Source organism: Homo sapiens, chromosome 17 (assembly GCF_000001405.40).
Source record: "Homo sapiens chromosome 17, GRCh38.p14 Primary Assembly".
Classification (NCBI taxonomy): Eukaryota; Metazoa; Chordata; class Mammalia; order Primates; family Hominidae; genus Homo; species Homo sapiens.
In genome coordinates, this window is record NC_000017.11 from 31274911 (window position 1) to 31300902 (window position 25992).

Below are 25992 nucleotides of genomic sequence, written 5' to 3' on the forward strand. Positions count from 1 at the left end.
ATTTTTGTATCTAGATATATTCTTCTCATAATCTCTTGGTTAATTGTATCATCACCTAGCCAAATGTTTCTCCAACACTGGATTTCTCATTATCTTCTCTTTCTTATTTATCTTAAGCTCTCCAGGCCTCTTCATGATGATTAAGTAAAATTTAAATTCTATTTAGTACTCAAATGTTCCCAAACAAACAATAGTCAATTTGCCATTATTCAGGTCTTCAAATACCCACCAACTTTGTATCTTTGTGCAGCCTCCCCAACTTGCCCAAAGTGTAATAATAGCCCCCTCTTATCCTAAGTTTCACTTTCCATAGTTTCAGTTACCCATGGTCCACCATGGTCTGAAAATACTCAATGGAAAATTCCAGAAATAAACATAAGTTGGATGTATCATGAGGTTAATAGTAGCCTAGCACTGTGTCACAGTGCTGCATTAGTCAACCCACTTCATCTTATCACATAGGCATTGTGTCATATCACATCATCACAAGAAGGGCGAGTATAGTACAATAAGATATTTTGAGAGAGATGCCATGTGCATGTGCTTTTATTGTAGTATATTGCTATAACTTCTATTTTATTATTGTTTTTAATCTCTTACTGTGCCTAATTTATAATTAAACTTTATCACAGGTATTTCTGTATAGGAGAAAAACACAGCATATATTGGGTTCAATACTGTAATTCTGTGGTTTCAGGTATCCCTGAGGGGTCTTGGAACATATCCCCCACAGTTAAGGGGGTACTACTGTACTTTCCTCATTCAAAATTGTGTTGTTTCTTCAAGCTCCACTCATGTCAGCACCTTTTATACGATCCTTCCCTAATTCTTCACGTCAGAATCAGTCATTTTAGTACTTTATACTTTGATCAGAGTCTCATTTTCACTAAAGAAACTAAATCTTCCACCATATTCTGGCTTTTTTTGTGGTAAGATACCACCTCTTATTCCTTCTATTCCCTCTAGCTTCTAATATAGTGAGTGTTTATAAAGAATAGGACACAGGGCCAGTTATAAAGAATAGGACACAGGCTCATGCCTGTAATCCCAGCACTTTGGGAGGCCGAGGTGGGCAGATCACGAGGTCAGGAGATGGAGACCATCCTGGCTAACACGGTGAAACCCCATCTCTACTAAAAATACAAAAAATTAGCCAGGCTTGGTGGTATGCGCCTGTAGTCCCAGCTACTTGGGAGGCTGAGGCAGGAGCATCGCTTGAATCCAGGAGGTGGAGGTTGCAGTGAGCTGAGATCGCACCACTGCACTCCAGCCTGGGGGACAGAGCAAGACTCCATCTCAAAAAAAAAAAAAAAAAAAAAAAAGGGGCACAATAAGTATTGGAATTCATTGAAATACCTCCTGTTTCTCCATGTCGGAGGGCTGGTATCATTAATGATGTCTAAAGTAAGAGTTATTTGGTTATTTGCAGTTTTCCCTTCACATTAGCATAAATTTGGAAGGCACAGGCTTGAGTTTAACTTTCATCTCTACTTTCCTGGCTGCTGTTTTGAGAAGATTTCTTCATTTGTACAATGTGGATCATAATGCACATTCATAATCCCTTGTCTGTAATCTGAAACCCCAAATCCTCCAAAAACCTTAAGTTTTATCAAAAAATAAAAAAGTTTGACACCAAAATTTATTTGGTGCAAATGCCTTATCTGCATAGATGGGAGGTTTTTAGCTATCTTTGTTTCACTTAGTGTGGATATTAATGTTGCGCTGCAGAAATATTGATGAGATTGATTTTGGGGTGCTGTTCCATTTTCTACTGGAGTGTTACATAATACATGATAAGAATAGTACTTAGCATATTCATGTTTCTCTTCTTCCTTCTGGGCACAGCACCATACCACTCTTAGCATTCTGATAGTTAGGTGGTACCATCTGACTGAGTTCTGGCCAGTAAAATGTCAGTTCCAATGATGTACAATCGACCCTTGAACAACACTGGGGTTAGGGGCACTGAATCTCCACGCAATGGAAAATCTACGTATAACTTTTGCCTCCCCAAAAACTAAACTACTAATAAGACTGTTGATCGGAAGCCTTTTGATAACATAAACAGATTAACATGTTTTGTAAGTTAAATGTTGTATATGCTATATTCTTAGAGTGAAATAAGCTCCAGAAAAGAAATTGTTACCCAGAAAATCATGAGGAAGAGAAAATATATTTACTGTTCTCTGAGTGGAAGTGGATTATCACGAAGGTCTTCATCCTCTTTATCTTCATGTTGAGTAGGTGGAGGAGAAAGAAGAGGGATTGGTCTTACTGTCCCCGGGCTGGCAGAGGTGGAAGTAAACCTCTGTATAAGTGGATCAGCATGGTTCAAAGCCATGTTGTTTAAGGGTCAACTGTATATGATTTTTAAGCCTGATGTCTAACTTCTCACCAATCTTCCATTCTTGCTTTCTTCTATCAACGCCTACTAGAAACAGACGGTTCAGTGGAGGGGGTCTCCAAGACGCCAGAAGATGGTAAAACCATTAGAAAGCATGATTTAAGAGAAATTAACTTTTGTTGTCTTAGCCAGTGATATTTTGGGATTATTTGTGACAGAAATTAGTTCGTGCTGACTAACATAACTACATGCTGGACATCTTGCCTTTGCCTCTTCAAATCCACTCTGTTCTTTACCCTGCTGTGTACCCTAAGAGGCTGACCTGTGTAGAGGGTATCATTGGGCTCCCCTCCTTTCTGGCTTTCAGCTGGCCCATAGGGAATACAAGCGGAAGATTAGGGAGAAGAAAGAGAGTAAGGTTAGGAGGTATATATTTTTGGCTCCGTTTCTGCAGGGTCCCAGTGGGCTGGCTACATCCATCCATGCAGTATGGTTTTTGTTGGGTGACCCTCTCCACACAACCTACTCTGTGTCTGCTTTCTGCTAACTGCTTCCTGCACTCACTACTTCAGGTGTAGTATCACACTGTCTCTTAAGAGTTTCCTTAAAACCTGCCTTCTCCTTTATACATAATCTCTAATATCTCAGTTTGAATTTGCCACCTGTTTCCTGCTAGAACCTTAATTGCTACAAGCTGTATGTACACTGTATCATCTTCCTAAAATCACCAGGCATGGTGGGATGTGAGCTATAGTCCCAGCAACTCAGGAGGCTGATGTAGGAGGATTGCTTGAGCCCAGAAATTCAAGGCTACAGTGAGCTATGGATACCCTAACCTGAGCAACAGAGCAAGACCTTGTCTCTAAAAAACAAAAATTAAGTTAAAAAATTGTGTCTTTCTTTATATACTTACATTACTTTCCGTTGATCTGTTTTTGAAATGTTTCCAGAACTGTCTTCCCTCACGTATTGATTCTTCCAAAATTCTTAAGAAAATGGAAAAAAGTAATTTCTGAAAATGATGAGAATGATCATAAATTTCATATAGCACTTTCTTGAGAATTTCAAATTGCAGTTTTAATATTTTACTTTAGAAACAGGTCCAGTTTTCCCTTCTGTAATTTTTTTCTTTGGTCTTTTTGGATTTTTTGGGTTTTTTTTTTTTTTTTTTTTTTGAAAAGAACACAGAGATCTTTTCTTGAGTGATATTTGCACAGACATTGCCTTGGTAATTGAAGCTTTTTTTTTTTTTTTTTTTTTTTTTTTTTTTTTTTTTTAGAAAATCCTATTAAGTTTTATGCCATGTCTATGCTCATTGCACCTGTGCCTCATGTCTCATTCATTCATTCGTTTATTTTTTTATTATTTTTTTTTTTTGAGACAGAGTTTCGCTCTTGTTGCCTAGGCTGGAGTGCAGTGGCACGATCTCAGCTCACTGCAACCTACACCTCCCAGATTCAAGTGATTCTCCTGCCTCAGCCTCCTGAGTAGCTGGGATTACAGGTGCCTGCCACCACGCCTGGCTAATTTTCGTATTTTTAGTAGAGATGGGGTTTCACCACATTGGCCAGGCTGGTCTGGAACTCCTGACCTCAGGTGATCTGCCCACCTCAGCCTCCCAAAGTGCTGGAATTACAGGCGTGAGCCGCCGCGCCTGGCCTTCATGTCTCTTTTAAATAGGACTTCTAAAATTTTGAAATGAGGTCAGCTTCAGTGGCTCATGCCTATAATCCCAGTGCTTTGGAAGGCCAAGGCAAGAGGATCACTTGAAGCCAGGGGTTTGAGACCAGCCTGGGCAACATCATGAGACCCTGTCTCTACAAAGTACATTTAAAAAAAAATTAGCCAGGTGTGGTGGCACACACCTGTATAGTCTTAGCCACTTGGGAAGCTGAGGCAAGTAGATCGCCTGACCCCAGGAGTTCAAGGTTGCAGTGAGCTATGTTCCCACCACCGCACTTCAGCCAGTTAAGGGGACAGAGCGAGACCCTGTCTCAAAAAAATTTTGTTTTGAAATGAATTTATGTATGTTTGGTTATTTCTGAAAGCAGTTCAGGCCTACAGCCATACCACCCTGAATGCACCTGATGTTGTCTGAAAGCAATTCAGGTTTTCAGGATTAAAATTTTTATGCTACTAGGTTTGTAACCTATATTTAAAAGTAGAACATTTAAAACATTTTAGTAGTATATAGCACTGAAAAGTGGCTTTTTAGCGTAGACAGTTGTTTTTCAAGAAACTATTTTGTAATCCTAGCTACTTGGGAGCCTGAGGTGGGAGGATCGCTTGAGCTCAGAATCCAGTCTGGGCAACAAAGGAGAATTCCAGCCTCTTTAAAAAAAAAAAAAAAAGGAAGAAACTATTTGGGAGTTTTGTGAACAATGGATATGCAAAAAGACAGGCCATTGTTATGAGAGGCCTAATTGTGAGTACCTTCTAGAATTGTATATAAGCATGATTCTCTTCAATAGTAAAATCTCAGCCTCTTCATTTTAGAAATCTAATATAGGAAAAAGAACACATTTCTCCATAGTTGTAAAACATAGGTTCTCAGGGTGAATGCCCATCTTTGAGCAAGTTTGTCTTCCTAATGGTATAATACTGTAAGTCTGTTATCTAATTTTGGCTTGTTGTCACTTATTTTTCATAATCAAAGAAAAATGATTTAATTTTAAAAAGATGCTCTCCTTTCTGTTTTCTTCTCTTGGATGATAGTATCCCTATCTGTCTGAGTTTATAGAATCTTAATTTTTACCTGCTCTTACCACATACATCTGATTAGTCATTAAGTCTTACTGATTCTGCTTCAGAAATTTTGTTTTATGCTTCACTCTCATGCTACCAACTTATTTGGTAGCTTCAGCAGTTGTCTAAGCTGGGGTTGGCAAATTTTTTCTGTAAAGGACCAAATAGTAAACATTTTAGGCTTTATAGCCCATATAAAGTTTTTTTTTAATTTTTTTTTTTTTTAAAAAAGAAAGAAATGTAAGAACCCACACCTGTAATTGCAGCACTTTGGGAAGCCGAGGCAGGGTGGATCACGAGGTCAGGAGTTCAAGATCAGCCTGGCCAACATGGTGAAAACCCGTCTCTACTAAAGATAAATTAGCTGGGCGTGGTGGTGTGTGGGTATGTGCCTGTAATCCCAGCTACTCAGGAGGCTGGGGCAGGAGAATCGCTTGAACCCGGGAGGCAGAGGTTGCAGTGAACCGGGATCGCGCCACTGCACTCCAGCCTGAGCGACAGAGTGAGACTCTGTCTCAAAAAAAAAAAAAAAAAAAAAAAAGTAAGAATCATACTTAGCCTGGAGGCCATACAAAAATAGGTCACAAGCAGGCTGTGGGAAGGATATTGTAAGTGGGCCATACTTTGCTGACCTCTGGTCTAGGCTATTACAACAATTTCCTAATTGGAGTATTTGTCACCGGTATTTTACCCCGGTGTAAGATTGCCTCCATCTTACACATTACTGCCAGAATCATCTCTCTGAAATGTGACCATTTCACTTCCAGGTAAAATCTTTATGTGCTCCTTTTAGCTAAGTTTTCTTGCTTAAGGTATTCATGTATTACTTCGGGGATTTTTTTTTTTTTTGCCATTTCTTCATAACCATCTATATTATTTATTCAGTATTTTTATAGACTTTTTTTTCTTAAAGGAAAGTTTATACTGTGAATGGAAAATCAATATTGATTGCCATAACTAGAAAACCAACAAAAGGCAACAGTAAAAGGAAATATAGAACTATGAAATGCCTGTTTCATGTAGCACCCAATCATATATGTACTACATTTCAAAAAGTCACTGGCTTATAAAAATATTTTTTAGCATCTCATACAAGTCTCTTCATAATCTGTTATACAGCTCACCTTACTTGCACGATTGCTGAGCCAAAGCAGATCGAAAGTCATTTTGGTAAGAGGCTAGATGCTGACCTTGTATTCTGAAAATCTGATGATTCTACTGTTGTTGATGTGATTCCAAGTAAGCCTGTGTGAACTTCTGGGCTATTCTCAGGGAAGTGTTTATGACACATTGTTGAAGGTATCATCAGGGCAGTTGATCCAAGAAGACTCTAGGAGCTGGCTAAGCCACAAAGTCTGCCCAAAAAGCTCAGAATGACAAATGAATGTTTTGTACATTATCTCCACTATAATGCTAGAAAAAAGTCTTAAAAGCATTTGTCTCAATTGATCATTTATATGGAATAATACTGGTTAATCATCTTAAATCATCATAGTGTTGGGTAATGTCTGTAGAAGGATGCTTTAAACTCTACTTGGTGCTTCAGCTATGCTGACCATCTCACCATTGCCCCCTTTGCCATGCCCTGACATCCTCACATGTCTCTCTGCTTTTGCATACTCTTTTCCACCTGGTTTGAATGCCCTTCCTTTATCATGGGACATTATCCTTTCCATTTAATACCCATCTTGATAACCTGACTCTGACCCCCTAGGCAAGTTTAAAAAAAAAAAATTCATTGAAATGAAATTCACCCTTTTTGAAGTGTACAATTGCCTGGGCACAGTGGCTCACACCTATAATCCCTGCACTTTGGGAGACTGAGGTTGGGAGAGTCACTTGAGTCCAGGAGTTCGAGACCAGCCTGGGCAACATAGTGATACCCTGCCTCTACAAAAAAAATTGCAAAAATTAGCTGGATGTGGTGGTTGATGCCTGTAGTCCCAACTACTCAGGAGGCTGAGGTGGGAGAATCACTTGAGCCCGGGAGGTTGATGCTGCAGCAAGCTGAGATCAAGCCACTGCACTCCAGCCTGGACAATGGAGAGAGACCCTGTCTGGAAAAAAAAAAAAAAATCTTTTTTTTAAGTATACAATTTTGGGCCGGGCGTGGTGGTTCACGCCTGTAATCCCAGCACTTTGGGAGGCCGAGGCAGGTGAATCCCGAGGTCAGGAGATCAAGACCATCCTGGCTAACACGGTGAAACCCCGTCTCTACTAAAAATACAAAAAATCAGCTGGGCGCGGTGGCAGGCACCTGTAGTCCCAGCTACTTGGGAGGCTGAGGCAGGAGAATGGCTTGAACCTGGGAGGCGGAGCTTGCAGTGAGCTGAGATAGCGCCACAGCACTCAAGCCCGGGTGACAGAGCGAGATTCCATCTCAAAAAAAAAAAAAAAAAAGTATACAATTTTGCATATTCAGAGTTGTGTACTCATTACCACTGTCTAATTTTAAACATTTTCATCACTCCAAAAAGAAACCTCATAGCCATCAACAGTCACTCTCCCCTTTCCTCCTGCCCCCCCTCAGCCCCTGGCAACCACTGATCTACTTTCTGTCTCTATGGATTTGCACAGTTTAGATGTTTCATATAAGTGGAATCATACAATATGTGCTCTTTTGTGACTGCCTTCTTTTACTTTAATATTTTCAAGATTCATCCATGTTGTAGCATGTATCAGAACTTTATCCCTTTTTATAGCTGAATAATATTCTATTGTATTCATACAATATATAAGCGTTTGTGTGGACGTATGCATTCAGTTTTTTTAGATACATATCTAGGAGTGGAATTGAGTCATATGGTACCTCAGTGTTTAACTTTAGAGGAACTGCCAAATGATTTTCCAAAGTAGCTGCATTATTTTACATTGCTACCAGCAGTGAATGAGAGTTTGAATTTCTGTACATCTTCACCCAACACTTGATATTGTCTGTCTTTCTAGACAAATTTTGATAAATCCCTCCTTTTCTAAACCATAGCCAAGTCTATTACTGTTTAACAATGACCATCTTGGAGTATAAATTTTCTGTTCACACTTTGAACTTTAACTTCCGGGTCTTAGATGTCTTTATCTGGATATACAGAGAATCTAGGTTTTGTATGTAATTATTCAATGATAGTATTAAAACTAAGTCCGGACGCAGTGGATCACGCCTGTAATCCCAGCACTTTGGGAGGCCGAGGCGGGCGGATCACGAGGTCAGGAGATCGAGACCATCCTGGCTAACACAGTGAAATCCCGTCTCTACTAAAAATACAAAAACTTAGCTGGTCGTGGTGGCGGGCACCTGTAGTCCCAGCTACTCGGGAGGCTGAGGCAGGAGAATGGCGTGAACCTGGGAGGCGGAGCTTGCAGTGAGCTGAGATGGCGCCACTGCACTCCAGCCTGGGCGACAGAGTGAGACTCCATCTCAAAAAAACAAACAAAAAAAAACACTAATTACCAGTTTTTTTGTTTTTGTTTTTTTGGGACAGGGTCTCACTCTGTCGCCCAGGCTGAAGTGCAGTGACGCAGTCACAGCTCACTACAGCCTCAGCCTCCCTGGGCTCAAGTGATCCTTCCAGCTCAGCCTCCTGAGTAGCTGGAACTACAGGTGTGCACCACCATGCCAGACTAATTTTTGTATTTTTTTGTAGAAACACCATGTCTAGCTGATTTTTGTATTTTTTGTAGAGACAGGGTTTGTCATGTTGCCCAGGCTGATCTCAAGCTCCTGGACTCAAATGATCCACCTTGGCGTCCCAAAGTGTTAGGATTACAGGCATGAGCCACCTTATTAGGCCTAATTACCAGTTTTAATTATAGACCTACATGACTACGGTTTGAAGGAAAAAGACTTTATTTAATCCTAGTGATTGGAATTGGAATTCTCATTTGAGCCAGAAGATTTCTTGAGTGGTTTTGTTTTCTGTGATAACTTGGTTTATATAAGTAATCCACATTACTTGGGTGTTAGTGGTAAAGCAAGTCTTTGCCTTGTACAACAAAGATAATTTAGTGATTGATACATTCTGAATAATCTGGTGGTTATGACTTGACACATACAAAAAATGTTAGTGGTTGCAGTCCATCTGTTGCTCTGTAAAAAGATTTTTGTTATTGTTTGTTTGTTTTGAGACCAAGTCTCACTCTTATTGCCTAGGCTGGAATGCAGTGGCATGATCTCTGCTCACTGCAAACTCTGCCTCCTGGATTCAAGCAATTCTCCTGCCTCAGCCTCCTGAGTAGCTGGGATTACAGGCATGCACCATCATACCTGGCTAATTTTTGTTTTGTTTTGTTTTTTCTTTTTTTTTGAGATAAAGTCTCACTATGTCACCCAGCCTGGAGTGCAATGGTGAGATCTCAGCTCACTGCAACCTCCGCCCCCCAGGTTCAAGAGCTTCTCTTGCCTCAGTCTCCCGAGTAGCTGAGATTAAACAGTCATGTGCTACCATGCCCAGCTAAGTTTTGTATTTTTAGTAGAGATGGGGTTTCACCATTTTGGCCAGGCTGGTCTTGAGCTCCTGACCTGAAGTGATCCGCCTGCCTCGGCCTCCCAAAATGCTGGGATTACAGGCATGAGCCACCGTGCCTGGCCTAATTTTTGTATATTTTATAGAGACGGGGTTTCGCTATGTTGGCCAGGCTGGTCTCATAGAACTCCTGACCTCAGGTGATCCACCCACCTCGGCATCCCAAAGTGCTAGGATTACGGGCATAAGCCACTGTGCCCGGCCAAAAGTTTTTTTGAATCACCTATGGTTCATTTATTTCAGTTTAAGTGTATAATCCTCAAAGGAAATAATCCATTGGGATGTATTTATGAAGTTTAAGTCTGTAAAACAATGTGGAGGCCGGGCGTGGTGGCTCACGCCTGTAATCCCATCACATTAGGAGGCCGAGGTGGGCAGATCACTTGAGGTCAGGAGTTCGTGACCAGCCTGCCAACATGGCAAAACCCCATCTCTTCTAAAAATACAAAAATTAGCCGGGCATGCTTTGCGCGCCTGTAATTCCAGCTACTCAGGAGGCTGAGGCAGGAGAATCGCTTGAGCCCGGGAGGCAGAGGTTGCAGTGAGCCAAGATAATGCCACTGCACTCCAGCCTGGGTGACAGCATGAGACTCCATCTTAATAAATAAATAGCCAAGTGTGGTGGCACATGGCTATAGTCCCAGCTACTTGGGAGGGTGAGACAGGAGAATTGCTTGAACCCGGCAGGCAGAGGTTGCAGTAAACCGAAATCGCACCACTGCACTCCAACCTGGGCAAGACAGAGTGAGATTCTGTTTAAAAAAAAAAAAAAAAAAAGGAAAAATTCTGAAACAACCATGTAAGAATAAATGCATCCAAATGAACGTTGTTCATCTCAGAAGAGTCACCTTTGGAGGTGATGCACTTAGTTCCAACTTTGCTGCCTTTGAGCACAACATTTTAGGGAAATAATTTTTTGGAAGTGTTGTCAAAGTCTGAAATACATTCTTGTAGAATGTGGAAAATCTCATACTTGAAATTTTTTGATAAGCAAGACAAAATGTCACGTTTAGTAATACTGTTTTTTGTTTAAGATGAGGTTTTTCTGCTGGACATGGGGGCTCACACTTGTAGTCCCAGCACTTTGGGAGGCCAAGGCAGGTAGATTGCTTGAGCCCAGGAGCTCGAGACAAACCTAGGCAACATGATGAAACCCCATCACCTGTACAAAAAATTAGTAGAGTGTGGTGATGAGAGCCTGTAGTTTCAGCTGCTTGTGAGGCTGAGATCGGAGAATCACTTTAGCCTAGGAGGTCAAGGCTGCACTCCAGCCTGGGTGACAGTGAGACCCTGTCTTAAAAAAAGTTTTCTTATGTAACTTACAAACTAGCTCTTAGTGGTATTTGAAAGGAACAGCCCCAGAGTTGTTTTCAGTAACGATGGTATCATTGGAGTAAAAGTATAGCGATCCAACCTGACTACTTTGAAGAAATAATACAGAAAATGAGGTGTATCATGTGTGACATTTATGTTTAAATTTAAAATCAGTTTATAGTCAACTCATAGTTAATATACGAATATTTTTTACTAACTTCAAGTGATTCCTTGATCCTTTAAATAATTTTAATATGCTTTTTTGTTGTTTTTTGTTTTGAGATGGAGTCTTGCTCTGTTGCCCAGGCTGGAGTGCATTGGGGCAATCTTGGCTCCCTGCAACCTCCACCTACTGGGTTCAAGTGATTCTCCTGCCTCAGCCTCCCGAGTAGCTGGGATTACAGGTGTGCACCAACACACCCGGCTAATTTTTGTATTTTTAGTAGAGACAGGGTTTTGCTCTGTTGGCCAGGCTGGTCTCCAAGTCCTGACCTCAGGTAATCTGCCTGTCTTGGCTCCCAAAGTGCTTACAGGCGTGAGCCACCACACCCAGCCTATTTTAATATGTTTTAAAGAGACTTTAGCTTTTACAAGGTGTCTCTAAGCTCATACTTAATGACCTGCAGCTTTTTTTGTAGAATTTAAAGTCAAGGCAAGAGACTCATAATACTTTATCCAAGTATATTTTGTTAAAGCAAAAAAAATGTCATGTGATCTTGTGGAAAAGCCATACCATGAGGAAATTTTAGCTCCTATAAATAGGTGAAACTATTTTTAAACAATTGTTTGCTTTCTTAGATTATTTGTCATTGGTATAAGGAATACAGATGAGTATTTAATGTCTAAATAATATAACTCATAAATGGATGTGGTTGTATGCCAGTTACTCTTACACTACATAATATCTCAAATGTGATAATGGTTGCTGAGGCTTTGGATGGCAAATTAGGGCTTTCCCAGTGGTTATTGTGGTGTATGGCATCCTTGTCTTCCCTTACTTATGTTTTGTTTTTCTTCTTTCTCAATGGAAAGCCATTAAGTCTTAGTTAATTTTCTGTTGAGGCAAGCATTTGACATTCATTCGAATTCCCTCAGCCTTCCAGAAGCATTCAGTATGTTTCAACTGTGACTATGAGCAACAAAATAATACAAAGTGAAAAACTGCGTTTCCTGGTGTGAGTATTTCATTAGATTTATTGATCCTTGGCCTTATGGTATCCATGTGAAATGTTCAGACATCTAATTTTTTACTGCTAAATAATTTTTTTAGGGGATAAATAACAAACCTTGTAAATTATTTGAAGCATAACTGAAGATGTCAGATATATGAGAAATTATTTACTATTACTGTTTCAGTCATTTTCACTTCTAATCTTGTTAACTACCCAAGAATCTCTTGTACAAAGGATAGTAATCATTAAAATGGTTATATAGCACCCACAAAGTGCTTTAATATACATGTTTTAATCTATTCCTTAAAACACCTTCTGGAGTATATGTTCTTAACCATATTTTTTATCAGAGGACACATTTAATCACTTGCCCAAGGTAAAAACACACACCGTAGGTGATAAACTTTATGTCATGCTCTGCTGTTAAACCACCAATATAGTTAGAATTATTTTGATCAGACAAGAGCGAAGCAGTTTTCCTGTTTTTAGTGAGTGCGTATGTATGTTTAATTTCTGTGCTTTGATCTCATTCATAACTGTGTGTGTGTGTGTGTGTGTGTGTGTGTGTGTGTGACACAGGGTGTGGCTTTGTCACCCAGGCTAGAGTGCAGTGGCATGATCTCAGCTCACTGCAACATCCGCCTCCTGGGCTCAAGCCATCCTCCCACCTCAGCCTCCCAAGTAGCTGGGACTACAGGCACACGCCACCACACTTGGCTAATTTTTGTATTTTTTTGTAGAGACAGGGTTTGCCGGGCTCAGAGCTCAAGCAGTCTGCCCACCTCGGCTTCCCAGTGTGCTGGGATTACAGGCATGAGCCACTGCTCCTGGGCTCATTAATAACATATTCTCACTCATAGGTGGGAATTGAACAATGAGAACACATGGACACAGGAAGGGGAACATCACACTCTGGGGACTGTTGTGGGGTGGGGGGAGGGGGGAGGGATAGCATTGGGAGATATACCTAATGCTAGATGACGAGTTAGTGGGTGCAGCACACCAGCATGGCACATGTATACATATGTAACTAACCTACACATTGTGCACATGTACCCTAAAACTTAAAGTATAATAATAATAATTAAAAAATAATAAAAATAAAACATAGTTTTAAAAATACAAAAAAAATAAAAAATAAAATAACTTTCCAGAAATTTAGATTCAGAATCTCAGGTCAGGCTTTCTAGATAAGGATAAGTGGGTATGTTGAGCATGTGTCTCACCTGGCTCTTAAATATGTTTAACAAAGTTGGGGCTGTTGAACCAAACTGACATTTCTTAACAGTTGATCTTCTTAAAGACCTCACTTTGCACCACAGTTTTCTAAATGTGAAACATACTAATCTGCTTAACACATTATTAACACCTTAACATGACATTTGTTTCTACTTCTCTTCTAACTTCCCTTGAGCAATTTTCTATATTGAATTGTTCATGGGTATCAGAATTAACCTTTCTCTAGAATTGTTCCAAAGGTAACTCCACATTGCCCAGAACTAGTTTTTTTTGCTTTGTTTTTTTTTTTTTTTTTTTTTTTTGGAGTGGGAGACAGAGTCTTGCTCTTGTCACCCAGGCTGGAGTGCAGTGGCATGATCTCGGCTTACTGCAACCTCCGCCTCCCGGGTTCAAGCGATCCTCCTGCCTCAGTCTCCTGAGTAGCTAGGATAATAGGTGCCTGCCCAGCTAATTTTTATATTTTTAGTAGCGATAGGGTTTCACCATTTTGGCCAGGCTGGTCTTGAACTCCTGACCTCAAGTGATCCACCCACCTTGGCCTCCCAAATTATTGAGGTTACAGGTGTGAGCCATGGTGCCTGGCCCAGAACTAGTTTCTTATATGACTAGTAGTAGCCTAGCCAAATCCTCCCTCATTCTTAACTTTTCTTTGATCTTTCTTTTCTCAGGACTTTGAAGCTGTAACTTTGAAATAAATGAAAGAAACTTAGACTCTAGAATAAGACTCGCAGGTTTGACTTGGTCTGTCCTAAGTAGGTCATTGTTAGCCAACTAGTCACATCTTTGATCTATGTTAATTCATTCTTTTATTTATAAATTCAGATAAAGGTGGTCAAAAAAACAAACTTCTAGGGGCAAGTGAATGTCTCAGCTGAAATCAAAAGGATGAGTAGGGTTTGAGAGGGCAAGAAGAGGGAGAGAGGACATGCAGCATCTCTGAAAGCCTGGTGGCACGAAGCATGGTGACTAAGGGACAGAGGATATTTTGTTTGTTTGAACTATAAAATGTTAGAGAGCTGGAAAATTTTAAGATGATACTCTAAAGGGAAGCAAGGCCCTGATCATGCAGTAAACCATATTAAGAGTTTAGATTTTATTATGAGATATGAGAAATTATTGAAAGGGAAGGGTTGGTACACAGTTCATCTTGTGTCTTCTTATTTCTCTTGTTTTCTTACTCAGTCTAGATGCCCTAGACAAACATTTCAGTAGTTCTTTTCTTAGATCTCTTGGCTATTTCAAGGACAAGGCAGGTAATAAAATATGCTTGGTCTACAGTGTTAGTTAGCATTTTGGCATTTTTCTTTTTGTTACTTTTTAATACATGGTTCTATGTCCTATAATTTTTTCTTATTTTTCTAATATTTGCGTTTTCCACATTTCACACTTTAAAAAACTCTTCATAAATATTTTTATTGGCCAGATATTCTGGTCAGTGGGTCATTGTTTACTTAATTTCCTAATGGTGGATATTTATTGTTGTTTCAGTTTTTCTTGTTAGAAAGAATGCTGTGATTTACCTATAGGCAAAAGTTTAAATGCCTTAACTGTAGACAAAAGTTAAAATATCTTACTTTTTTAAAAATTTCATTGCCAAATTGCTTTCCCAAAGAATTGTGCCAATATGTGAACATGGCCATTTCATTCTACCTTCCCCATCGTTGGTTTTTTTTTTAATTGCTTGCTATTTTAATAGTGAAAAATGATGTCACATTTTTATTGCATTTCTCAATTACGTGGTTGGCCATATTCCCATATATTAATCATAGTATTTTGTATCTTGTAAACATTCTTTTTATGTCCTTTGCCCATTTATTCATTGAGAATTTTAAGATTTTTTTCTCATCCGTTTTATGAGCTCCTGATTAACAACCTCCTTTATAGCATCTTATTTGAATATTTTTATCAGGCTGGTTGTTTCAGCATAATGGGGATTTTGTATAGACCAATCTATTGATAATTTCTTTGTGATTGTTTTTTTTTCTAATTAAATAGCCTTCCACCTGAAGACTTACAAATATTTTTAAATTCTTCTGCTGGTTTTATGACTTCCTTGTTCATGTTTTCTTTCACTTTGTCAGTGTATCACATGAAGTGAGTGTTAAACTGAACTTTTTTCCAATTTCCTCATCTCATTTATTGAGTCTTTTCCTTTCCCCTTTGGTTTCTGATTTTTCTTTCCACAGCTAACAATGTTTGAGAATTTACTGTGTGCTAGGCACTGTTCTAAACACTTTATCTGTATTATCTCATTTTCTTCTCACAACAACCCTGTAAGGAAATAGAGGCACAGAAACCTAATTTGCTGAAGTGACACAGCTAGTAAGTAAAGCTTTGTCACATATTCAGTTCTTCTGTGTACCTGTGCTCTCATTGTGCTGTTGTTTCTATATTGTGGTTATCTTTCTGTTTTTATGCCACTATCATTCTGTAATTATTATGGCTGATACATGTTTCTCTCTCAAGAAAAGCTAATATCGGCCGGGCACGGTGGCTCACGCCTGTAATCCCAGCACTTTGGGAGGCCGAGGCAAGCAGATCACCTGAGGTCAGGAGTTCAAGACCAGCCTGGCCAACATGGTGAAACCTGATCTCTACTAAAAATACAAAAATTAGCTGGGCATGGTGGCACATACCTGTAGTCTTAACTACTCAGGAGGCTGAAGCAGAAGAATCGCTTGAACCCAGGAGGTGGAGGATGCAGTGAGCCAAGATCGCACCACTGCATTCTAGCCTGAGTGACAGAGCAAGACTCTGTATGAAATAAATAAATAAATAAATAAATAAATAAATAAATAAGTTAATGTAACTGTAGTATTTACTTCTTTTTCTATTCTTGCTTGTTTCTAAGTGAACTTAAGGTTCCAAAACATTTCTCATTGGAATATTTTTCAGAATTGCCTTAATCTGTAAACTATACTGGAAATAATTGCAACGTAATAGTATCCCACCAAAGTCCTCTGTACCTTAGTGTTTGATATGTTCCAGGTGCTGACTAAATATTTGTTGAGTGAAAGAATGAATGAATGAATGGAGAGACCTTAGTTTGTCATCTGCATCAAGTCTTAATTTATACTTCTCATTAATATTTTTCAGATTTTCCCCATTTGATGCTGCATATTTCATGTTAATGTTACTTCTTGACATTGTATATTTTTCCCATAATTTTCTAATTATTTGTTGCCAATATCTGTTATTTCTGTTTTTTTGTTTTGGAATTTCCCAAATATTGTTAAAAAAGATTGGCAATAGTGGGCATCCTTGTTTCGATTGTGATTTTAATAGAAATATGTTATTCTTCACCAGCAAGATGTTGGGTGGTAGTGTGTAATACATTCTTTTATCTAGTTCTTAAAATATATTTTATAAGGAAAAATTTTATGAAAGATTTTAGGTTAACTCTTGACTGACATTTTTGGTATTAAAGGAATTTGCTGTTGTTTGATAGCATCATTATGGAAGATATTGAATAGCACATATTTGTGATCTTTTAAGTTAGCTATAGAAGCCATCTTCTCATTCTGCTGTGGTAAGTGAATGTCTTTCTGACTTTCTTCTGGGTCCCTATTTCACTGATATCTAAACCTGATTTCTAGCAGGGAAGAGACTAAAGCAAGCACATCCTTTCATTCCCTTGCTCTCAGTGTGTAGAGCTGAAATGTTTCCATATATGGGAATTTCTCATAGCATTGGGTTTGGACATACAGATGTGATAATAATCCTCACAACAACAACATTACTGCATCTAGGAATGTGGGTGGGCCAAGACACTGTGAAGGGTTTATGTGAATTATGTCATTTAATCTTCAGAAAAAAACCACTGTAAGTTCTGCCAGCCCATTTTATAGATGAGGAAACTGTGACTTAGAGCAGTGAAATAACTTGTCTATGGTCATACAGCTGAGAAGTGGCAGAGGCAAGTTGCTTGTAAAGTAGAGCCAAGCCTTAGAGATGGATGGGTGAAGATAGATATAGATGTATGTGTATATAGGTATGTGTATATCTGTACACATATGCATACATATTTGATGTGCTTGAGAGATAGATGCTAAGGACTAATGCATTTTGAAATTTTTCTGGAGCCAGGAATATAGTAATACTTAGTGGCAAATAATGAGCCTTTTTCCATTAATAATAAGAATATAATTTCTTTGGAAGGAAATACTATCTAATTATAGTTTCCCTCAGTATATCTGGGGGATTGGTTAGCAGACCCCTGTGTATACCAAAATTTGCGCATATTCAAATCCCAAAATCGGCCCTGTGGAACGTGCTTCCTTGTGGAACCTATTTATACAGTATGTGGGTTTCACATCCCACAAATACTGTGCTTTCAATCTATGTATAAGTGTGCCCATGCCATTCAAACCCATGTTGTTCAAGGGTCAACTTTACTTTAAGGCTAGATAATTCTTCTGTCTAAGAACTTAGAGTCTGAGTAGTTGACGTATATTGTACTTGTAAGTTTACCAAGTTTGACTCTGCATTTTGCAGACATGTCTGTAGGATTGACATAATCCATAGGTGCTCCTAATGCAGTAGTCTATAATTTGACTTTCTTATTACTTTTCCCCTTAAAAATTCTAAGACAGCATTGAGTTTTTGGTATCCTCAGAGGAAAAGACAGTTACCTCTAAGATACCTACTTTCAGGGCAGGCGTGGTGGCTCATGCCTGTAATCCTAGCACTTTGGGAGGCCAAAGCAGGCGAATCACCTGAGGTCAGGAGTTTGAGACCAGCCTGGCCAACATGATGAAGCCCCGTCTCTACTGAAAATACAAAAATTAGTCGAGCGTGGTGGCAGGCGCCTGTAATCCCAGCTACTTGGGAGGCTGAGGTGAGAGAATTGCTTGAACCTGGGAGGGGGAGATTGCAGTCAGCCGAGATCACGCCATTGCACTCCAGCCTGGGGGATAAGAGCGAGACTTCGTCTCAAAAAAAAAAAAAAAAAAAAAAAAAAAAAAAAAGAAACCTACTTTCTGTGAAAGTCGGTGTATATGTTTTTTTAAATAAGACACAAGTATGTGGTAGAGTAGGGATTATCTAAGCAATTAGTCCCTATCATGGATGGTGAAGGTACTAATCAGTGTTTGGGAGGGAGTGGAGATAGCTTCCGTATATAGAGAGGTAATGCATTTTAAAATCATTTAGGGGACTTTTTCAAATAATCCTGTTTCTTCATGGTGAGATTCCCTGACACAGTGAGCCAATCAGGTTTGCTAAGGCAGAAAATGTTCGAGAGCCACTGTACTAGACAGCATGAAAGATGACTGTTTTGTTGAAGCTTAATGGTAATTTTTCCATAATCCTGGTCCTTAAAAAGCAAAAAAAAGAACACATTAGAGTGTTGTTACTTTTCTCTCTCTCAATAGAAATGTTCCTAAACCAGCAAAGGAGGCTATCTGAATTTTTAAAAGTTTTTACGAAGGAACATAAAAATTCCTTTCTCTATCTTTTCCCACCTCTAGAAATGCTTGAAATGAGATTCTGCCTTACGTCTCACAAATTAAATACCACATTTGTGTCTCACCCATCTCAGTTATGCTGTCTTGCATTTTAATCAATCCTGTTTCAGGACTTCTTTTGCTGCCTTGTGGCTGTTTCTTATGTTTGTCACTAATTCATAAGTTGGCTAACTTTTATATTTGTAGAGAATTTCTCAGTGATTTTCTTCTAGTTGGAGTTCCAGTGTGGTTTGATTTGGAGTGTCAAGATCTCTGTCCCATGCCTAGCCTTAGTCCTCAGTCTGTTTTACTGGGTTCACCACCTGGTTGTAGTACCAAATGCCCTTTTCCCTTTCCCTCTCTCCTTCCTCACTTCCTCAGTACTGCCCAAGTTCGTCAGACCCAATGATTTTATTCTTAAGCTAATCTTATTTTTAATTTAGGTAATTCTGATTTCTGATTTGTAAAAGATAAATTTTCTTCTCCTTCATGTAGTAGGATTTTAATTTTGTAAATATTTAAATTCTCCATTAATGGTGTGTTAAATCTGCACTAAAACTGCTTCTTTACATGTTTTTAAATTTTTTCATTATGTTTTTAACACTTTTCTTACATGCAAAAAACACAACCGTTAAACTTTTCTTATTAAAATGCAAAGCCTAGTGTCTTCTAGCTTTTTGAAGAGCTTTTGTCCATTATATAATCTGTCAAGTAGCCAAGAGTTCCTCAGAAGCAGGACATCATTTAGATTTAAAACAATTATGGCTTGTCTGTAAAATAATGTTGTAGCATAACCATTCATGGGATGGCAGCTACGATTTTACTTCAGTAAAATATCCTTGGATACTACCGCCATTTTATTTACCTTAAAGATTTTACCAAGGTACCCTAGAACAAAAATGGTGAGGTCATTTTGATTCTGCTAAAGTTGGTATGACTGGAAAGCCAAATGACACAGTTATGAGCATAGACCTTTTATTTTCCAGATGTTTGACAGTGTAAACATACATAAAATACATATTAAAGTTTAGATGCTTTATATTTTGTGCAATAAATTGAAGCCTTAAAACATTTCATTTTTTTTATAAAAGAAACTCATTAGTTTACTTAATTAAGACAGTAAAATAGCAGCAAGTACCAAGACATTGTGCATTTCTTTTATTTAAGACAAGTTACTTCATTTACATCAGAGTTAGAAATGTTAAGACTGGCTTTCTTGAATACTTAAATATAGCTCGAATCACTGGTTAGATATGGACATATTTTCCCAACTGTACATCAGGGAGGAGTGCTTTCATTAGTTTCAGAAAATGCAGACCCTCAGACAGCCAGCATGACCACAACATTGAGCAATAAGAGAAATGAAGCATTTACTTTCCAAGCATTTGCCACAGAAGGTAATGGAGTCTTTACATTTGTGGTTGTCTCTTCCCTCCATAAGTTAAGGGTTGTGCTTTGTTGAGGCATTTCAGAGAAATTATTTGGCATGCCACTAGTGATACTTAGGGTCATGGGTGTTGGGGATGATTTTGTTGAGCTAGTGAGGCTTGTGTTTGTGACCATTCCATCTTGGAGATGAATAGTTAGAGTTGCAGCTGCTGCTTCATGTGAATTGATAGTCTCTGTGGATGTATCTTCTGGATAGGGCACAAAAGCCTTATCAGTGCTAGTAAAGGTGGTGTCTTTGCTTAGAGTGGCACCAAACGTTGTTTCCTTTGTTCGATATTGTTTGGGTATTTTGGTCACTTTGGGTTGAGTTACCACACTCAGAGAGTTAATGGTGTCCACTGTCTGCATCCCACTTACAGTGAATAAGCTTGAGGTAAATCCAGAAGGTGTGGGATACATGTTATGTTCCTTTAAAGATGATATTTGGGTAGAACATGGAGTCCCTATCACATGGGCTTTTGTTTCCATCATCCACTTCAGTAAGTAAGTAATGTTTTGTTTGTGGTCACATGACCACCTGTTATTGTAAAGGGTTATCTCTTGCAACTGAAAGAGTTGGTCAAAAGATTGGTCTGGAATGAATGTGAACTTATTGTTGTGCAGGTAAAGATGTGTGAGATTTGTCAGGTTTATTAATGTACCTGGAAGAATTTGTGTCAAAGAATTATTAGACAGGTCCACGATATGTAGTTTGGAGGGCATGTTGGTTGGAACTGTCCAAAGTTTGTTACTACTGAGGTTGAGAACCTCGAGACTTCTTAGTGTATTTTTAATGAGGACAACCTTTTCCAGCATGTTCTTAGAAACATCCAGATATTTAAGATTCCACTGATAAGCAGTATCAGATTTGTCAAGAAGTTTAATGTTGTTGTTAGCAGCAGACATGTTCCACAGAGACCGAGGTAAGTGAGCAGGCAGGCTTTCAAGCCTGTTGTTTGAAATGTCCAGGGTCCTCAGATTGGTATATTGGGTTAACTGGTTATGCAGATCAGTAAAGTGGTTATAAGACAGGTTTAAATGTATAATATTCTCTTGCAGTCCAGATGGTAATGTAGACAAGTTTCTGCCTGAACAGTCCACATGCCTGTGCCTCTCTGTGCATATACATTGGAGAGGACAAATGCATAAAATACCAGGTGTGAGAAACAGAAGGATGAACAGGCAGAGAGACATTTTCAATATCTGATATTCCATCAAAGCCTAGAAACAAACAGATACACCCTTCTTTTAATATGCAAATACAGTTTAGGCATCTGCATGGGTCAGTTAGCATTAGGCAAAATTTTCAATAAACCTCGTTGTTGTCGAGTCCTTTTATAATTGTTCCAGTGATTAAACTAACAAAGCTCCCCTTCATTTATAGTCCAAATGCTTAATCCTTCAATTGGGCTATGTGGTAGAGAGAGACTCTCTCCCTACTCTCTCCTGCATTTTCTCCTTTATTTTCTCTCTCCCTCCCCCCTTTTCTAACCATATTCTTTCTTATTTATCTTTCTAGAGCCTTAATATGATAAAATAGCATTCTTTGCAAATAAATAGTTGCAGTTGTAGGCTATTACTATTTTTGATGATATGCTTTCTTACTCAGATGAGAAAAAATGGCTGTCGTGTCTTTTTTTTTTAATCTCTGCAGTAATGTAATTCAATGTGTGTATATAGGGTAGATTTTATTTAGATATTAAAGCAGTTCTTCGAAATTTTATCTGTATGTTTTTAGGATAAATATATCTTTGTAAAAAGCACTTGAAAAATCCAGACCAACACAGTACCTATAAACCTCACATTTTATAAAGTGATTTTTTTCTGTATATTTCAGTGCCCATTTTAAAGGAAAACAATATGTATATTTACAGAGTGACTGAATGTATAAAAAATATCCCTCAACTGACACTGCAGCAAATTTCTGGTGCATGCACTTGCTATTGAATATATATTTAATCCTAACGTTGACTTTTTCTTAAAAGAAAAAGGAAAAAGATTCCAAAGTCAGCCTTTTACTGATTTAAATAACATCTTACCGTGGTGTCGTCTTCAACATCAGCATCTCATTTTCTCTGGGAAACTTAAAGGTCGTCTTGTTCTGTAGAGTCGGAACTGTTTCTGGCTGTGGGCTGTGCTTGCCTGCTCAGCTGCATTGTGTTGCTGTGAGCTGAAGCTCTGCAACCACCTGATCAGTACCACATAGGAGGACTGCAGAGCTGTCGCTGGTGCTGACTCAAATTTATGGCAAGAGGTGCACACGCAACAAAATGGACAATTTTTTAAAAAATTTGTGGCATCAAGCGTACCTATATATCTGATTTGCTATAGGATGGGATACCTTATGCATGAGAGTTGGCCCTTACTCCTTTCTATGTATTTGTCTGAGATTGGGTTCCATATTTTAACATTTGCCTCATTAAGAATCTGTGAATTTTTAAAATACCTCTACTCTTTATCCTTTTTACATGTTGAAAATAAATTTGACCTTCCTCATGGATAGTTTTCTATGATATTAGTCCCACTATTTTTTAACTCCTGCCTTTTTATATTCCTTTCTAAAATTGTATAATTTTCATGTCACTTTTTTAATATTATAAAAAATCTGTTTTATGACTTTTATGTCTTCCCCCAACATGGTGATTATTATGTTTAATCAGCTTTTCAAATTTATCAACCACTTAAGTGTTCCGTCTTCCCTTTTAGGATGTATAGAAGTACTGAAATACGATTATTTTTTCTTTATCTTTCTGATACAATGATCATTTGACCAAGGCTACACACAAGCCAGGATACATTTGGAAATTAGCATCTTATACTTCAGATTATCAGTTCCTATGTAAAATAAACATGTTTTATTTTATATATTTGGAGTTAAAGTTTTTTTTCTTTATGCAACCTTGGGTGGTAAGTGGATATGAGTATTGTTTTTTCCAAAGACATTTTTGGTGCTGTATGAATGACCATTTATTTGATTTTATGTTTTAAGAATAGCAGTATCAATTTAGGTGATTTCAGAGTGTTGCACATTTCATCTTTCTGGGAAAGTAGTTTATAGTTTTAAAATTACATGAAATGATATAAAAGGAAAATTTTTCATCATGAGTTTTATAAAGTGAGATCAGATTTATGATAAATTTTGCTCCACTCTTCAGTGGACTGCTTGTGTAAATCTGTTAAAACACAAATCTGATTTCCAGAATGGCAAGTTTAAAGAAAGCAAATAAAGTTACGGTATTTTCGTTACCAAGTGGCACCATTTAAAAACGAGTAATATTTAGCATGTTATGTGTAAGGAAAGTCTCTTTATGCCTTGTTACTAAATCGTTTGTTTTTCTCTAAATTATATTAGCATTATTTAGATTATACCACAAATAGAATTTGTTGTATTAAAATTTGAAGTTTATTTTCTTACAAGAGAAACTATACTCTAGGAGCCACCTTTTGTATAAAACTAATGTTCCTCGAAAAGTATCTGCATTTTAAGAGTCCGCAACATAGAAGTTTATTGTTGATTGGGTGCTTTATTGCCACTTTACTTTGAGGGTTCAGTTGAACTCTCAATTGGATTCTTACTGTGGATTTAGGAAACCAGCCATCAATCATAGTGCTTAAAATAATGTGTTAAAAATACTACATTCAGCAATATTGTGGAAATAGGGAATGCATTGACATTTAGAGTTCTATTTAAGCTCATATATACACTGCTGCACTTCTAAAGATGTGACTGAGGGTCAATTTACCGACCACTTAAATCTCTTAATTTTAGGAAACCTCATTAAGTCAGTGTAGAAGTAGAGTTATGCATTTTCATTACACTTAACAGTACTTTTGTTTGAAAGAAAAGACATGTTACTTCATTAATGGATTCAAATGAATTTGGGTTTAGGCTGTATCAAGTTTAGTTTCTGTTGTATATAATAGAAAATTCCAGTGCAATAGTAGTGGCAATGTTTCTCATTTCAAGTTTGGGACATACCAAATTGCTTCATATTATTCAAAGATTATTGTAAAATTCTCAAAAAGAAAAAGGGAGATCATTTCAATATATTTGAATTCTAACAATCTCTTACACTGGGTGCAGCACACCAGCATGGCACATGTATACATATGTAACTAACCTGCACGTTGTGCACATGTACCCTAAAACTTAAAGTATAATAAAAATAAATAAATAAATAAAAGAAATTCTCATGAAATAAAATAATACTGTATTACTGTTACTCAAAAAAAATATTTTTTAGAGGCATAAGTATGTGTTACAACTTATTTTAAATATTATTCAGACTCATTACATTTTCTATTAGGCTGTCTAGGTCAGTAATGATAGTTAGGCAACTTTTACATTCTAGATTAAGCAGTAAATTAATTTACGTATTCTTTTGTGTCCTAGGATATATTACCCCAACATTGTGAAAGGTATCACAAAGCATCTGCCAAGGAATAGCTATCCCACGCTAATCAGTGGTTTCAGTTTTCCATTATTATAGGTAACATTTGCTATGCTTGAGAGTCAGATATTGTTTATTTTTGGTAATATGGTTGGCTATTTAGACTGATTTTCCTGCTGAATACAACTGAGAGTACTCAATAAAGTACTTTAAAAGCATGAAAGAAATAACAACATAGAAATTACCAAGTCAAAATCCAAATGAATCAGTTTCTTTGCCCACCTCCCTACTCCTTTTTTTCTTTATGCCACTGGCTTGTTGCCAAAACTCAGTCAATTATTTCCTAAAATGTCTCTCATCTTGGAGTTTTCTCTTTGACTCTTTGGGAAGATTTAATTTGTTCTTCTGTCCCCCATATTTTCTATAAGTGATTCCTCATATCATTGACATAATTGCTCATTTGCATCATCTCACAATAATTTCAAAATAATACCAGTATTGATTGCTACAATTAGATTATAGACTACCGAATAAAGTTTAAAATTTGTTTGTAGCTCTGCTTGCTTTATTTTACTAAAAGTGTATAGTAAATTCTGTGTTCTAATGCAATGTGAAATAATTCTTTTCTGTGTATTTTTATATCACCAACTTGATATAAACTTTGTTTCAGTTTTCAGCTTTTCAGGATCACAAGTCAAAATTATATATATAACAATGTATATTCAGATAAATCTTGCTTCTCTGTCTTTTCCATCCTATTTCCTTCCTTCTGCTATTAGTAACTGTTTTTATTAGTTTTTCGTTGTATCATTAACATTTCTTTTTGAAAACCTAAAAAAAATGTAAGCATATGTATGGTATGTTCTTATCCCCCCTTCTAATATAAAAGGTGACATATATACATACTGTTAGATAACTTGTTCTTCTTTTCTTACTGTATCTTGAGTATCACTCCATATCAGTATATAGGTATCTGTATGATTCACTGTTTGATCCATAGTACTCCATTTGGGAATGTACCATGGCTTATTCAACCAGTCCCCTATTGGTGGACATCTGGGTTTTTCAGACTTTTGCTGTTACGAATAATGCCACAGTGAATACCCTTGTACCTAAATAATTTTATATGTTTGCCAGTAAATCTTTGAAAAAGATTCCTAGAAGTAGGATTGCTGGGTAAAAGGGTAAATGCATTTGGAATTTTTCCAGACATTACTAAATTCCTCTCCATTGATTATACCATTTTGCAGTCCCACCAACAGTGTATCATGGTGTCGAGTTCTATACAGCCTCACTGTATACTTTGTTGTTGAACTTTGGGATTTATTGTCCATCTGATAGGCAAGTATCTCCATCTAATTTTAAATGCATCTCTGTAATTATGAGGGGGAGTAT

The 25992-nt window shown here is 37.7% G+C and overlaps 2 protein-coding genes across 3 annotated transcripts in view; one reads left to right on the forward strand and one right to left on the reverse strand.

The window, feature by feature from the left end:
• Positions 1-25992, forward strand: part of NF1 (neurofibromin 1) — a 282699-nt gene that overhangs the window by 179934 nt on the left and 76773 nt on the right. The gene's annotated exons all lie outside the window — the stretch shown is intronic.
• Positions 19737-22329, reverse strand: OMG (oligodendrocyte myelin glycoprotein). Its single transcript, NM_002544.5, has 2 exons — positions 22246-22329; positions 19737-21427 (listed from the first exon to the last, which is right to left on the reverse strand). Exon 2 carries the CDS (start codon positions 21419-21421, stop codon positions 20099-20101), a length of 1323 nt encoding a protein of 440 aa, NP_002535.3. The 5' UTR covers positions 21422-21427; positions 22246-22329; the 3' UTR covers positions 19737-20098.

Excerpts from the sequence above, each read along its gene's own strand:
- OMG (NM_002544.5), bottom strand. The coding sequence starts at position 21,421 with ATGGAATATCAGATATTGAAAATGTCTCTCTGCCTGTTCATCCTTCTG.